This window comes from Homo sapiens, chromosome X (genome assembly GCF_000001405.40).
Source record: "Homo sapiens chromosome X, GRCh38.p14 Primary Assembly".
Lineage (NCBI taxonomy): Eukaryota > Metazoa > Chordata > Mammalia > Primates > Hominidae > Homo > Homo sapiens.
In genome coordinates this window covers 124,914,419-124,931,396 of record NC_000023.11, presented here as the reverse complement: position 1 = coordinate 124,931,396, position 16,978 = coordinate 124,914,419, and the positions used below count along the sequence as shown (strand labels likewise).

The window sequence follows — 16,978 nt, the reverse complement described above, 5'->3', positions numbered from 1 at the left end:
CAGGTGGTGAATTCTTACAACCCATCGTCTTCTTTCCTGGCTACCATTACTTTAAAAAAAGGTTTGGCTGTCAACCCTCCCTCCTTTTAGAATCTTTTGAAATGTTATTGTTGTGATTGTTGATTTTTTTTTTTTTTTGCTTTTGTGTTTTGGGATGACTTTTTAAGGGAAAATGCATCTTCAGATGGATTCTGTTTACAATTCAGACAAACTTAACACTTTCCTTTTAAAAGCCTCCATAAAAGTCTGCAGCCCTCTTTGATTTGGATTGAGTTTTGAAGCCTTCTTCTCTGACAGCGTTGGGTTTCTCCATTTTGCATTTTCCAGTAGATCTTGGGGTCTGTCCTCAGTCAAGACACCTGCTGCTGGGACTGCCAGTCGCCACATGCTTGGCTTTCATCTTCCCTCGTGTCTATTCATAGCATGCACTTCTCATAACTCTAAAAGACTGTTTGATGCCCCCTCATTGTTTAATATCTACATGATTAAAGCAGCTGAGAGAATTAGCACGTGTCTTAAGCCTAAGGAAAAATCCAGTCTAAAAGAAATTGTATTGCAAGCCCAGATCGTTTTTAATAAGCTCTGCTGTGCTCTGTCTCACCTATTCCTCTGTGGGGCTCCCTTGGGCATTTTATAGGTATTTGAGGGTTAGCTTTAAAAGGATTCTTTCAGGCATGTATTTGACTCTCAATATAACATTTATCAAGCCCCCACAGTGTGCAGGACCCTTACAGTGGTCCCATGGTAAGGTACAAAAGAAGCAAGCATACCATTTTAACACTTAAGGAATCAAGTTACCTGTCCTTTAGGATGAAGTGAGGGAGAAAAAGTGCACATATATAAAAGATTTGGGTACATGTTGAAGATGTCAGATGTATAGGTGCAACATGAGTATCAATTCGGTACACAAAGGGGGCATAAAATGAATGTGTAATCACAGTTGGAAAGATATAGTGAGAGCCTCAGAGGAGTGAATGGTGTGAGCTTAAGGGCTTTCATCATGAGTGTCCTCAGGGACTTCAGTAAGGCAATGCACCGTGCAGAAAAGTTGGTATTCTGATAGTGTTATATGAAAATAATAGTAACTGCTACTGTTTATTCAATTGAATTTTTACTTTGTGTCAATGTAAAAAGAATGGAAGAACTAGGGAGCAAGACAATATAGACTGTAAAGAAATACATTCTTAAAGTGTCAATTGTATGACCATGGGTTGAAATTTGGCTAGGGAGGTGGGTGGGCCGTATGCTTGTCGCGTGTGTCTGTGCATGTCTGTGCGGGGTATGGGGTGGCAGCGGGGAAGAAGAAGCAAGATAAAGAGACTTGGAGAGTACGGCAGAGTCTGGGAAATAGAGGTTACGGTATGAGGTGACAGCAATTAAAGTGGGGAAAGGAGTAAAAGAAAAGAGAGGCTGTGTTCAAAGAAAGGATTCACAGTTCCAGATCTTGGAATTAAATCCTTTACCTTCTGAATATATTTTTCTCTGAAACCTTAGGCTTATTTTGCTCATTCAGAATAAAATAGAATATTTAACTTTGAAAATAGGGTTTTTACAGAAAATAAAGTGCTTCTTTAAAATGCTAATTTTTGACTCTCAGAGTATGCCCAATTTTTCCACAAATTTGTAATCCATAGTAATTCTGAGGCATAGCTTATGGGAAATTAGGATGCTAAAGCCATGTCAGAAAACTAAGCAAGTAGAAATTTACAGTAAATTATTGGAGAGACTCACATCACTACATTAGCACATGGTTTAGCTGTATTTTGACAGTGGAAAACCTGGCATAAGAGTCTCTGGGAGCACCAGGTAATATGCCTGAGGTCCCTTTCCTGCAGGTGAATTCTCTAGTGGCAGCTATCGCAATTTATGCCAGAGGCTTATTTTTGTGCAGACATAATCTCTGGTAGAATTTTCGCAGCCTCTGTTGACAGAACTGACAGTGTGTATAGGCCCAGGCTACTAGGCAACACCAGCATCAGTTAGCAGTCAGCAAATATTTATTATGCCTTAACCATATGCCTAGAACCAAGTTAGAAGCAAGGAGGATATATTAGAACAGGCATAAACAATCCCCTCAGACTCTTTACAGGGCTGACATACTTAAAGTAACTAAAATAGTGACAAGGCTATATTTAATCAAATGCCACATTCGAGGGAGGGTGAGTATTTTAGGATGTTAGAAAAAGGAGAGATCAGTTAGAGCACTAGATTGGGAGAGTCTTCAGAAAAGAATTGGAACTCATCCTATAACGCATAAGACAGGTCGAATTTAAAGAGTAAGAGTGAGAAAAGGAAGGAAATCTATGCACATTGAGAACAATTCAGAGGAAGGCAAAAAACAAACAAAACATAACAAAACAAAACAAAAACACCCTGGTATTTATATAGTACAACAGGAGACCAGCTTGATTGACATGGAAGATGTTTGAAATCAATAGAAAATAAGTTAGGTCGGGCCAGAGTATCAAAGTACTTTGAAAACCAAGTCAAATGTTTTGAATACAATACATTAAGAAATGGGAGACGTGTGATGATGAAAGGTGGGAGCATAGCATGGTCATTTAAGGGGCATTTTAGCACAATTAATATGGTACTGATTTACTGGACAGGTTGGAGAGGGTAGAGAAAGGTATACAAATATTACTATAGCTATTGGATAAGCACATATTTAACTTCAATTTCACCCTTCAAGGAAGTCATTCAGGCCATTCCCAACAAAATCCTAGATTCCCGTTGTTTTTTATGTTAAACATAAAAGTGTTAAAAAGATCTAAGTTCACATCAGATGGGTAATGTGCCAAAGTTGTAACAAGGTTTGAAAGAGGCACATCTCACACATAAATATGAAAACCTATTGTTTGAGTCAGTTTCCAAGGCTGAAGGGACTATATGCACTTACATCATTGGATAAAATCTCTGTGTCTCTAATTAGCTTCAATCTGTACAGATGTTCTTTAAGGAATTGCCATTCCTTTTTATTAGACCGAGCTCACAAATTTTTCCATCTAAGTTTGATGTAGTATGTTGGAAATGACTATTCTAGGAAACTTGGAATGTATGAAAAATATGGAGGTTTTTTAAGAAAAAGAAAAGAAATATGTGTAAGTAAGAGGTAAAAATAAGCAAACCAAAATAACTTAGATGGATGAACCCAAACCTAGGTTGTAGCTGAAAATAGAAGGGTAAACAAGTGCCATCCCAAATAAAAACAAACTAAAGTAAGAAAATGGGCAATGCAGAGAAATCAGGACATAAACCAAGTTTCACTTGAATTATGCATAAAAATTAAGACAGTTATTTCAGTTTTGATTCATTTGCTTGTGTATACACTTAGGTTTTCACCTGCCAAACTTTGTAAGTTAGTATAAAATTGATCATATTTACATCATCATCAAATGACACTGGTTGTCAGATTTGAGGGAGGAAAATATTTTTCTTAAAATCATTGGAGATTAAGTCTCAGGAAAGCTACAGCCTCAATGAAAATCTTGTAAATATAATTGGTATTAAGATCTGTTTAATTAAATGGCATTACAAGGGAAAAGAAGGTCAAGTTTGTCTTTAGGTATTTGTCTTTTGCTTTCCTCGGTTATTTCCCTACAGTGCAATTTATTCCATTTAGACTGGTGGTGGTTCAACACTGGCTGTACCTTAGGATCCCTATGGGAACTTTCAAAAAGTCCACTGCCCAGACTCCACCCTAGATTGATCCAAGCTTTGGTATTTTCCAGAGCTCCTCGGGGGATTCTAATAGGTATGCCGAGTTGAGAAGCACTGTATTAGATTAGCACCAGCATCTTTCTCTCTTCCCCCCTCATATAGTCCCTTAAGGCATAACACTTCTTACAAGGGACATATATTTTAGCCAGACTAAATATTTGTGTTACACTGATGATAGAAAGCTCTTGAGGGCAGGTCCTTGGTTTGTTTATTTTTCTATCACTCAGTGGGCTCTGGCCAGTAAAGTTTGTTGTATTAATACCAAGTACAAGTATAAGAGGTAGCAGGATTAGAAATAGGGCCCAGGACAGGCTAGTTTTTATGTAAGTGGGGAGGGGAAGAAAAAATCCAGATTGTAAAATACAGAAGTCTTGGCTATAGTGGGAAGTCTTCAATAGGTCCTGTGAATATAAAATATCACCTTAGAACTATGGTTTATTGCCAGATTTTTTAGTTATCCATACTGTGACTTTAGGTAAGGTGTTTATCACTGGGTGTCTCTGATATCTCTTTAAAATGAGGAAAATAGTTCCAGTCCCATCTACCCCAAAAGATTGATGTGAGATTCAACTGACATTTGTAGTTATGAGTTCATTTTACAGTATTTTTAAGTATAATATGCCAGATATATGTAAAATTGTTGTCGTTATGATTTACAAAGGCAGTTAATAGTCTTTTTGTCAGAATGAAAAACCTAGAATAATCCACAGAGCACTGCAAGTGCCTTTAACCACCAAAGTCAGTGGAAGTGTGAGGAAGACTTCCTTTGCAAAGCTATTCAAATACCTCAAAGATTGTATTTTCTATAATCCCAAGAGATGAGTATGTCCATGTAGAACATTGCATAATTTTGACAGACTTTAATAGTGCAATGAAAATAATCATAGCGAAATAACTTGATGTGAATTCAAGTTCCAGTACAGCATTAACTTGGTTTATGAGCTTGGATAACATATATGTATATGTACTTGTGTGTGTTTATTCATTAAAGGGAAGGAGTCAGTGTACTAAAATTTGTTAAAATCATTAATCTATCTATCCAACGTACATTAATTGAACACCTATTATGGGTCAGGCAGTATTTTTAGTGTTGGGAATACAGCAGTGAAAAGAAATAGACACATTGCTTACCATCATGTAAACTTACATTCTAGTAGGAAGTGGAGCATAATATAATTCCAAGTCTATAGAATTGCTATTGAAAAAAATAATAAAACAGGGTAGGCACATAGACTGGTGGAAAAGGGTAAAAAGAGTGGATGTTTCATAGGTGCCAAGATCTACCATAGGCACTTCCCACACGTTACTTTTATTTATAAATCTTCACAAGCATCCTATGCAACAGGTATTGTTATCTTCATTTTAAGGAGAGGGAAATTGAGGCTCAGAGAGTTTTTAAAACTTGCCTAACATTACCTAGTGGTTATGTGACAGAGTTAGAATTGCAACTTGCATCTGCCTGAGTTCAAATCCCATGTTCTTTCTACTACATGTGGCCAGCACGTAAGTGACTTAGTATATGTTTCCATATTCTTTTCTGTACAATTCCTTTCTGTTGGGCTTCATCAGAGATTTAATCTGACATCCCATGTACCCTATATGTTCCACAGATACTAACACTTTAAAAATTGAATTAGTTATTAGCATTTAAAAGTAAAAAGCTGCATATAGAAGTATTGGTTTCCAGCTTGTCTCAAAGTATTGAAAAGTCCAGCAAAATTGGGCCTGTGCTCCCATAGGGCAGAAACCAGCTGAAGCTGAGCAGCATGATCCCTCTGAGACAGAGCATGCACTCTCTGGGTTTCCACAGCCACTACTAATCCATGTTGTCATAGCTGAGCCACTTCATTCATTTATGTTATTTACCTGGCCCATGTAAATATTTGAATTTGTGACCCACTAGAACAAATACATGAAAAACCCTCTTCCAGTTCCAAAGTTTTGATTCAATGCTGAACATTCGGGCTCAGTTATAAGCCTTGTAACTATTCCTTTGACAACTTAGTTATACTTAAATGAGTTTTTTTCTTTCATTTCTTCTCCACTTTGTTTATCTTTTATGGTTTAACAACCATGCAAACAATAGCCAAAATTGCACATTAATTTCTTTACTTTTTCTATTTTAAAATATGATTCAGTGCAGCACACACAAACCTATATATTTTTAGTCTTTATGCAGAAAAAAGTGAAACATGCTAAACATGTTAAAATTCTCAAGCATGCATATAAACTGTAAATAGCATAATTAACAAGTAATTCATAATGGCAGTTAAATTCTGCCAATGTGGAATCATGCAAGCCAGTTTAGAAGTCCATGTTTTAGTTAAGTCTATAATTCACCATAGCCTTTAAAATCCAAGTAATTTATTAACCTAATATAGGTTAGAAGAGAAAACCCAGTCATAATATTGAAGTGAATATAGGGAAAGATGCCTCTCATGAAAATCATTCAAAGTATAATTATTCTTAAGCACAACATTATTAAAATGTATTTCTATAATATAAAAGTTTTTATTAGTATTCTGTGATATAAGGTACCCTATGCAGCATTATGTTAAATTCTGTCTCCATATTTATAAGTTTTATAGAGTTTATTTTATAGCAGTAAACAATGGGATCTCTGCTAGACTCAGAGTGAATTACAGTTGCTTAATGGTGTGGGTACAAGTTGATTTGTCAGCTCACAGGCCCAATTATCTGTTCTTGTGGTTGCCCTAGAGCGGCCCTGAGGCACAATAGCCTCTATGGCCAGGATATCTAGCTTGTTCGGTGGTTCATACACTGTTAGTACATGTTTGATTTCATGCAGGTGGAGTAGGAGCCCACTTCGATAGTGCACAGTGAAGTATGGCATGAAGACTCCTTCCTCGTCCAGCCACAAATGTCTTCCTGTATAGCCTGCCACAATGCCTGAAATTTCCAGCCTCAAATAGTCATTTCTTTGGTTAAATTTTCATCCCTGTCCGGAAAACAAAACCACTTCAAAAAGGTTAAGCCATTGTCCCACATATAAATAGTGTTGGCTTCATTAACACTATGAAATTGTTCATTGGTTTGCATAACAAAATGTCATGGTCCCTGGGAGAACAGGTAACGCAGAGCAGGTAACTCTTAAGGACGGAAATAGGAAAGTTTGGTCTAAATATAAGATATTTGCCAGGAAGGTCATGCCTAGCACAAAGCTCTGTGGTAGAGAGCCTTGAACAGTACATACTTGGTTGGGGGCAGGGTGTTAGAGATAAAGGAAAGAAACGTTAGAAAAGAGAAGGTGAAAGTGAAATAAGGTTAAATTTGACATAGTTCCTGCCACCCTCTTCCTAGGTCCAATCCTCATGTTATCTGTTGCTTATAAATTTAAAAGACAGTTAGACTTCAGATAGTATGAATGCTTGAGAAATGGGGCATTATAACTGAAAGATTTGTTAGTTTAGATTGAAATGTATTATAAAATAAAAGTACCAGTAAATTTGCAGATTTCTAAGAAGGGGTTTGATAAGGGACAAAAAGTCAATTCGAAAATTAAACAAGGAAATGGAAAGAAGAATAAACAATGTAAGAATATTAATTCATTTAATTTTTGAATTGACTTTTCCCCGTTATCCATCCACTGTCCACAGTAATTTGGAAACAAACTGTTATTTACATTTTATAATATTGCATTAGTTTTCTATTGCCACTATAACAACTTACCATAAACTTAGTGGCTTAAAACAACACAAATGTGTTATCTTACAGTTCTGGATAGTCAGAAGTATGAAATGAGTCTCACCAGGCTAAAATCAAGATATCAGCAAGGCTCTATTCCTTTCTGAAAGCTCTAGGAGAAAACCTGTTTTTCTTGCATTTTCCAGCTTCTAGAGGCTGCTCATATTCTTTGGCTCATGATCTCTTCCTCCATCTTCAAAGCCAGCGATTTCATGTCTATTTGATCCATCTTCCCCGTCATACATTCTTTGATACTTCTGCCTCACTCGTCTACTTTTAAGGACCCTTGTGAGTACGTTGGGTATACTTAGATAATCCAGAATAGTCTCCCTATCTTAATGTCAACGGATTATTAACTTTAATTTCATCTGCAACCTTCATTTCCCTTTGCCATGTAACCTAACATATTTGTATGTTGTGGGTATTAGAATATGGATGTCTTTAGGCATTATTCTGCCTACCACAAAGATAATAAACATACATTGTTATACTATGATTAAGACATTGTGTTTGTTACAATAATGGAAATGGGTTGACAAATTTTATTCCCAGACAAAACCACTCAGATTTACGCATTTTAGCTAAGTACATATATAAGTGACAAACATTAAACAAAATGATGAAACTGTTTCAAAATAAAGGAACAGATGAAGATATGCCAGGGAATTTTCAATAAGGAGAGGATAGGGCAAGGATGTCAATATCAGATTAAGTGGAATTTAAGGCCAAAAGCATTAAAATAGAACCTAGAGGGATTCATTCCATAAACAAATATTTATTAGATGTAACTGTATGGAATGATATGTGAAGCATTTGATAAAACTGCAGTTACAGTTGTGAAATACAGATTTCTCAGAATTTGAAAAGTAGGCAAAAAATAATACCAAGGATTTGAATAATTATGAAGCTTGACCTAATATTTTGTCAAATAAATAGAATTAGATACTCTAATGCCAAAAACAAAACCACATTTGTATTTTATGCCCCTGGACCATTTACAAAATTTATCATGTACTTTGCCACAAGGAAAACCTTAATAAATTCTCAAGTGGAAAACTGGCAGGTAACATCCTCTGACAAGAATTCTGTAAAGCTAGAAATCAACAATTCAAAGACCAGAAAAGGTAAACAGGAAAAAACTTAGAAGAACCATAAAATACTTTATGTAAGTAATTTTTGGATCAAAGAGAAAATCAAAAGAAAATTTTAAAATTATTTAAAAATGAACAAAAATTATATTACTTCCTAAATAATCTAGGAATGTGGCTAAAAACATGAGAGCTGCAAGTAAAAAATATATGTGGGATTTTCAAGACTTTGCACAAAATATACATTTAAATTAAAATTTATTATTTCTTTAAATTCATTTAACGCTATAAATTTTCCTTATAGCATTAACTGAATTTAAAGAAATATTGAAAAAAATCTTTCAACTCAGGAACAGAAAAAGAATATATAGATATATATTTCACATAAAAGTATCTGTACAAAAGTAATAAAAATATAAGCTAAAATAATTACAAAATTTCAATGTGCAATTAACAAAGCCAAAAGCTGGTCTGCGAAAATATGTATAAAAGAGGCATACTTTGTTCTACACTGAAAAATACACTGATATACTTCCTAAATCTCAAGGATAAAGAGAAAATCTTTCAGGCTTTTTGGCAGAAAAACTGAATCATCTACAAAGAAAAAAATGGTTTTCTCATCTATATCGTGGAAGCTAGAAGACAGTGGAATAGCATCTAGAAATTTCTAAGAGAAAAAGACTGCAAACCAAGTAACTTACCATCCAGTCAAGGTATCATTCATCCACTTGGGTCAGAGAAAGATGTTTGAGGACATGTAAGAATTCAAAAAGTATATCACTCTCATACACCAGTGAAAAAATATTTGAGAAAAAACTCAAACTAAATAATAAATGAATCGGAATGGAGACTTCAAGATGAGAGAAGAAACAATGATGGGCAATGAACCTGGCTCTCTGGAAAAGTAATTAAATCTAAATGGAAAGGCAGATTGACTTAAATATCTAAAATAGTATCATTTCAACGTGTAATCAATATAAAAAGTATTAATGAAATACTTTGCATTCTTCTTTTGTGCTAAGTCTTAAAAATCCCACATGTATTTTGTACTTGCAGTAGATCTCAGTTCAGACTAGCCACATTTCAAGTGTACAATAGTCACATGTGGCTAGTGGCTACCATATGGACAGCACAAGCGTCTAAATAAATATACTAAACTATCCCAACAAAACACAGGAGTGGGAGTGAGAAGAAGGGAGGACTAACAAGATCCAGAAGATCTCATGGGGTTAGGAAGAGAAGTGAGAAGGATTATAAAAGTGACATTGTAGGGTTAACAATGACAACAAAAGGAAGCAACTTGGATGTCCAGCAATAGGGCATTAGTTAAATAATTAATGGTACATTTATAACATATAACATTTAATATTTCCAGATTTTGAAACAATGAGTTAGAAGCATATTCTATCTTAAGGAAACATGCATGTTATATTGTTATATAAAACAAACAAGTATAGTATAATACATAAAATACCCAATTTTCATAAAAATAAATGGAAAGTTTTTTAATGTGTCTGTTTGTATATATTTTTATGGGTCTAGAGAAAGGTATGGAAAGACCTTCACTCTACAATGAGTATCAGTTGCCTTGTGACAAGATTGGAGAAGTTAGATAGGGAGTTATTTATTAATTTTGTCTTTATGAACAACTGTATTATTTTAATTGTAATAATGAGAATTTGGGGGGGTAATTTCTAAAACATCTTATACAGTATAAATAAGAATGATAAAGAGAAATAAGCAGCAATAGCTCTTGATGTGTGGAAGGGACTTGACCTCTGTTCATAAAGTCAGACAAAGCCTGAGTTGATAGCATTATTTGGTCATTAAAAGAGGGGCGTGAGATTTAGGGGAAACTAGAGGTAAGGTCTTTAAAAAAAAAAAAAAAAAAGTCTTGTTATATAAAGGGACTTCCTAAGTGAAGCATGAAACCCAGAACCCATAAAGGAAAAAAAAATGACAGATTTGATAATGTAAAAATTGAATGCCCATAAACAACAGTAAGGGGGGATGGGAAAACAATAGGTTGGGAGATAATATCTGGTACATACAAAATGCAATGTATATGGATAGCACATTCCATATAAAAATGAAAGAATTACACAATACCAATAAATATATGAAATGATGTTCAAATTAATAGAAAGTAAGTATAAATATATATAAATAAAAATGAAGTAACTTTTTCACCTAATTTGGCAAAAGGAAAAAGAAAATGATTCAAATATTTACTGTAAGGGTATGAGGAAGCTGGAACTGTGGGGGGAAATATGAACTAGAACAATTTTTTATGAGAATCTAATAAAATTCAAAAAGCACATGCATTGTGACCCAGCAATCAGACTTTCAGGAATTTATCTTACAGAAAGAATAAAGCAAGAGTGCAGAAAGGTGTATATGCAAGGATGGCCATTGAACATTGCTTATAATAGTAAATACTTGGAAATAAGCTAAATGTGTGGTTCTGGTCAAATAAATTATAGTAGCCTCAGACAAAGAAATTCCTTGCAAATATGAAAAAAAGTTAAGTAGATCTACGTGTTCTAACACAGGAAAGATATCCATGACATACTATTGAGAGGAAAATTGCAAAACATTACATATAACATTATCTCAGTCTTGTAAAAACACAAAAAAGTGTTTATGCTTATGTGTTTATGTATTTATGTGTTTTCTGCATTTTTCAAACAATAAATAAAAACAATGAAAGTATAGTAACCTTTCAGTCAGCATGATGTTTAGGGAATGAGGAATTTTCATTAATCCGTATTTTTTTTGTTGATTCAGAATTAATCATATATTTTTAAATTCCCATCTTTAATTGTTGAAAATCTTTCTAAAATGACTCCTTTTCTACCCCAGTGTGACATCGAGGAAGCATTTTTGAACCTTCATTCTATGACTGATCATCTTTAGTGACTTATGTTCATTATTTTGAGTATCGGTTCTTTTTGCCTGAAGCCCTAATAATAATGACAATTGCTACATTTATAGAGCCAGGATTCAAACCCAGTTCTCTGATGCCAAGTTCTTTTCAGTACAGAAAAGCCCCTGGTAGCTACCCTCATTGATTAAATCCCTGAAATGATGTGTTTGCTTTTCATTCACTTTTATTTTCTTACAGTAGAAAGCTAGAGGGAAAAAAGTCATTTGGTTGAAATTTTTGGTTTGAGTTTCAATAATTAAAGTTTTATGTATTCACCATGTAGCTTAAGAAATAGAGCATTACTAATTACCTTTTTGCCTCTGCTGTGTGATCTTTTCAGATCCCAGCCCTCTTCCCTCACTTCCCTACTAGATGACCGTCATCCTGAAATGTGTTTATCATTCCCTTGCTTTTCCTTATAGTTTTGCCATGTATGTATGCATCCCTAAAAATATGTTTTTCAGTTTCATATGTTTACAAATTTCTTAAATATAATCATATTGTGTTTCTATGAATTGCTTTTTGTGCTCAATGTTACATTACTGACATGCATCCATGTTAATGTACATAGCTCATTTATTTTCAAGGTTATATAATATTCCATTGTGTGACTGAACCATAATTTATTTATCCTGTAGTCTTTTTTGTAGACTATCATGGCACAGCTTTCAATTGATCGAAATATCACAGATATCACAATCTGCCAAGAACCTACATGGCCATTGTGATCTGTCTGTTCAGTGTTGTAGCGAAATAAATAGACAAATCAGAGTACCACTATAAGGCATTCAATGAGTATCAAATAAAAGTTTGAATAGGGCACTGTGAGACTATGGAGAGGGCCAGGTTAACTTTGGCTAAAGCGAGGCTTAGAAAAGAGATAATTTGAAGTAAGCCTTGAAAAACTGTTACAACTTTCAAGAGGTAGATATGGGGAAGTATGGCTTTCTATGCAAAGAATCACTGGAGCTGCAAAATGGGAACATAGGACAATGTTCAGACAATGTTTAGCATAGATGTGGCTGGAGTGTAGGTACCTGAAGGTCTGGCTTACCCAGTCTAAATGGGAACAGATCTGTAATCAAATCCTAGCTCCATTTTTTAAAAAATTGCCAATATTACTTAACATGGCAGGTTACTTGACTTGACCTTGTTCTCTCATCTGTAAAGTGAATAATGCCTACCTCTCTGAGTCATTGTGATGACTGTATCTTTAAGTGCGAAATATATGGATAGGTCTTCGCACAGTGTCTGGCACAAAGTAGGCACTTTCTTAATGTCAGTTCCCTTCTCTTATTTAACATTGACTTGAATAAGGCCTCTTTCACTTTTGTTTCTCAAGGAATTGAATGGGTAGGGCAATGAATAGTATTTTTTTTTTTTTTTTTGTAATTTCTCTTCAGGCTCAGAGCCTCACCATGACATTCCTTTGCTTCTGTTAGAAAACTGGTTACTATCTGGCTCAAATTTTCAGCCTCGGCTGGGCGCGATGGCTCAAGCCTGTAATCCCAACACTATGGGAGGCCAAGGCAGGTGGATCACCTGAGGTCAGGAGTTCAGTACCAGCCTGGCCAGCATGGTGAAACCCCATCCCTATTAAAAATACAAAAATTAGCCAGACGTGGTGGCACGCGCCTGTAGTCCCAGCTACTCTGGAGGCTGAAGCTGGAGAATCGCTTGAACCTGGGAGGCGGAGATTGCAATGAGTCGAGATCATGCCACTGCACTCTAGCCTGGGTGACAGAGCCAGACACCAACTCAAAAAAAAAAAAAAATTCAGTATCTTCTTTGTGTTGTCTCCCTCTAATTCCTACTTGCAAATATCAATTCCTGTACTCCAGAAATAGCCCAAGCTAGGATATGAAGCTCAGGCCAGGGAGTCTGGGTAGAAAAAGGAAGAATGTAGAGAAGGTTTCTGTTTGTTTAACCTGAGCTAAGAAACCAGCATCAAAAACAGAGCTTCAAATTGAGTCCACATCTTATGAGCTAGATGTTCCCTTTCTATTTCATTTCTAGGGACAAAGCTGATGTCAGAGCGTAGAGAATTCTAAGCCTATAGATTACCTGGCTATCATGGAAGAGTGATGAGCAAATAATAGTCAAGTGGCTTTATTTCATTTGATAAAGTTGAGAAAAGCACATAACCCAGTGAATATACTAGTAAGGAGCAGAAATTTGCACAGAAAATGAATGAATTAGACAGGGGTGTTCAGAGTCAAATTATATCAGGAGGCAGCAAAAAAGGGAATGACCAGCTAGCAGAGCAAGCACATAAACAAGGCATATTGTAGTTGAAGAGATGAGAAGATTAAAAATCTATAGGAGAATTTATCACAACTCAATTCAGTTCAATAGATAATTATCAAGCACTGATTGTGCACCAGGCTTTCTTTGGTCCTGTGGTTGTGGAGGTGATATAGTGAAGGACAGTTTAAAATCCAAGTCAAAAAATGAGAAGCAGGAAGTCTATGTGGGGTTAAGGAATGAGCTACAAACATTCATTAGCAGAGACCTGATCCTGAAGATACTTTGCTAATTCATCTCTAGGCCACCACTTCTGATATTTGTATTAGTCAGAACTCCGACAGTGAATGGTGGTAGCCCAACTCCAACTAGCTTAAGAGAAAAAAAAAGTTTTTTTGGCTCAAGTAACCAAACAACAAGGTGGAACATGGTCTTAGCAAAAACTGGAACACAGGTTGGAGTCATGGACTGGAAAACTGTCAAGACTCCCTTGTATTCCTACCTCTCTCTGCAGGCCAGCTTTATTATGTACAAGATGGACAGCTGGCTACTGCTGACTGCTCCGGGCTGTCAACCTTACAGCCTAGCTAACTAAAAGGAAAGAGATCCTCTTCTGCCTGCTTTCAGTAAACATTTAAAAAATTAAGAAAACCTGAAAATGAACCTGGATTGGACTAGCTTATTTCCCATATCAATATCTGGACTAATCAGTGGGGACAGGGAGGAGGTGTCTTGGTCCATTCTTGGTTTGTTTTATGCTGCTCCAAAAGAATACCATAGACTGGATAATTTATAATGAACAGAAATTTATTGGCTCACGGTTCTGAAGGCTGGGGAGTCCAGTGGCTAAAGATGTCTTTTTGTGTCATCACATGGCAGAAGGGCAAAGATGAGGAGTGGAAAGGTAGAAAGAGAGAGAGAGAGAGAGAGAGAGAGAAAGGGGGTGAACTCGCCATTTTATAATGAGCCTATTCCTGTGGTAACAAATTAACAAACCCATTCCCACAATAATGGCATTAATCCAGTCATGAGGGTGAAGCCCTCATCATGACCCAATCGTGTTTTAAAGGTCCTACTTTTTAATACTGTTATAATGACAATTAAATTTCAACATGAGAACTGCCTATAATCACAGCACTTTGGGAGGCCCAGGCAGGAAGATTACTTTAATCCAGGAGTTTGAGACCAGCCTGGAAAACAAAGTGAGACCCCCATCTCTACAAAAATCTTTTAAAAAATTTAGTTGGGCATAGTGATGTACACCTGTGGTCCCAGCTACAAGGAAGACTGAGTTGGGAGAATCACTTGAACCCAGGAGGTCGAGGTTACAGTGAGCTATGATGATGCTACTGCACTACAGCCTGAGTGACAGGACAAGACCAGATCTCAAAAAGAAAAAAAAATTCAGTATGAGTTTTGGAGGGGGAAAACATTCAAACCATAGCAGGTGGGAAATATGATTGGCCCAGACTGGATCAGGTGTCCACCCCTTAAACAATTATAATTGTGGCAAAGACTGCAATACAAAGGTAGGAGCTTTTCAGATCACAAGTCTAAAATGGGGGTAAAACAATGGTTTTTTTTCAAAGAGGTGAGATTGCAGTATGTAGATGGTCACTGGGGGAATCACTGTAAGCCAAACATTCCACCATGTGGCAGTTCTGTTGGGTAGGAGTCTCTCCAAACATGAATGGTCTAGAGATGCTGAAAGTAGGGACATGTATTTGGAAGCACCAGGCTAAAATGGAGAATACATGTGCAGTTGGGATAGCAGCAGATTTTTGACAGGCAGTTCTGAACCACCTCAAGCCTTTGGTTGTTCTCTATTGCCTGTAGAATAAATCCTGAGATGCTTATTAAGACCTTCAAAATCTTTTTTCCAGTATTTTCTCCCTTTTTTCCATCTGTATGAACCCTTTAAACCAGCCAGACTTGAATATTTACTGAGCAAAGCACTCCGTGTGAAGCTACACTCATGCAATCATCAGTCCTCCAGATATGGAATCATCATTCTTTATGGTGTGTTTCTACTATCATCCTTGCTTAGAATGCTTTTGAGATACACTGCTATATTCACCAAATATTTATTTATGCTTCTATGTGTGCAAAGTTTTTTGGATACTGGTTATACAATGATGAACAAGACAGACATGGTCCCTGCCCTCAGAGAATTTACTTTTTTTCTTTTTGAGACAAAGTCTCACTCTGTCACATAGGCTAGAGTGCAGTGGTGCGATATCGGCTCACTACAGCCTCTGCCTCCTGGGTTCCAGCGATTCTCCTGCCTCAGCCTCCCGGGTAGCTGGGATTACGGGCATGCACCACTATGCCTGGCTAATTTTTGTAACTTTAGTAGAGACAGGGTTTCACCATGTTGGCCAGGCTGGTCTCAAACTCCTAACCTCAGGTGATCCGCCTGCCTCAGCCTTCCAAAGTGTTAGGATTACAGGCGTGAGCCACCACATCCAGCCGAGAATTTACATTTTAGTAGGAGTAGAGAGTTTTTATGTAATTATAAAACTGATCCTAAAATTATGATGTGATGACTGTGATAAGTACTCCAGAGAAAGAAGGACCTAATCTGGTCTGGAGGGTCAAGGAAGTGAGATGAAATCAAATATAAGAAAGAATTAACCAAATGAAGAGATGGAAAGGGGCAGGAAGGAGAAGAGGAACAACATGCACAAATGTCATGAGGTGAAAAGTAGGATGGCGTATTTGAGAAACTGGAAGAAGTACATGTTGCAGAAGCAAGAGAGTGAGTGGCCAGAGAAGTAGACAGGGAACCAAATAACATAAGACTTTGTAAAGCATGTTAAAGATTTTGATATTTATCCTAAATGTAATGGGAATATACTGAAGGGAGGTGATGTGATTAGTTTTTAGCATTCTGTCTGGTAGCATTGCAAACAATAGATTAGAGGGTAACAAGATTGGATGGAAGGGTACCAGTTAGGTCATTGCAGTCATCTAGGCCAGAGATTATTGAATGTGAAAATGGAAAAAACTGTATTGGCTCAAGATATAATTAGAAGATAAAAATGATGGTATGGGGGATGCCTAGGTTTCTGGCCTGTGCAAATGAATGGATGATACTTATATTCACAAAAAGGCAATGGTAAAGGAGGATCAATTTGAAGGCAGTGATAATAAAGTTAGCTGTGGACATTTTTAAAAATGTAAGGCGTCTTTTAAATATCTATATGACAAATGAATAGTTGGATATACAACCTGGACAACAGTACTGGAGTCTAAACTCTACCCTCTTTCATTCAAGCCTTACCCATTCATCAAA

The 16,978-nt window shown here is 36.3% G+C and overlaps 1 protein-coding gene and 1 non-coding gene across 14 annotated transcripts in view; one reads left to right on the top strand and one right to left on the bottom strand.

The window, feature by feature from the left end:
- TENM1 (teneurin transmembrane protein 1) overlaps window positions 1-16,978 on the top strand; it is an 828,410-nt gene that overhangs the window by 272,916 nt on the left and 538,516 nt on the right. The gene's annotated exons all lie outside the window — the stretch shown is intronic.
- LOC124905282 (small nucleolar RNA U13) lies at window positions 2,780-2,878 on the bottom strand. Its single transcript, XR_007068444.1, has one exon. It is a non-coding gene; the product is annotated as a small nucleolar RNA U13 (small nucleolar RNA).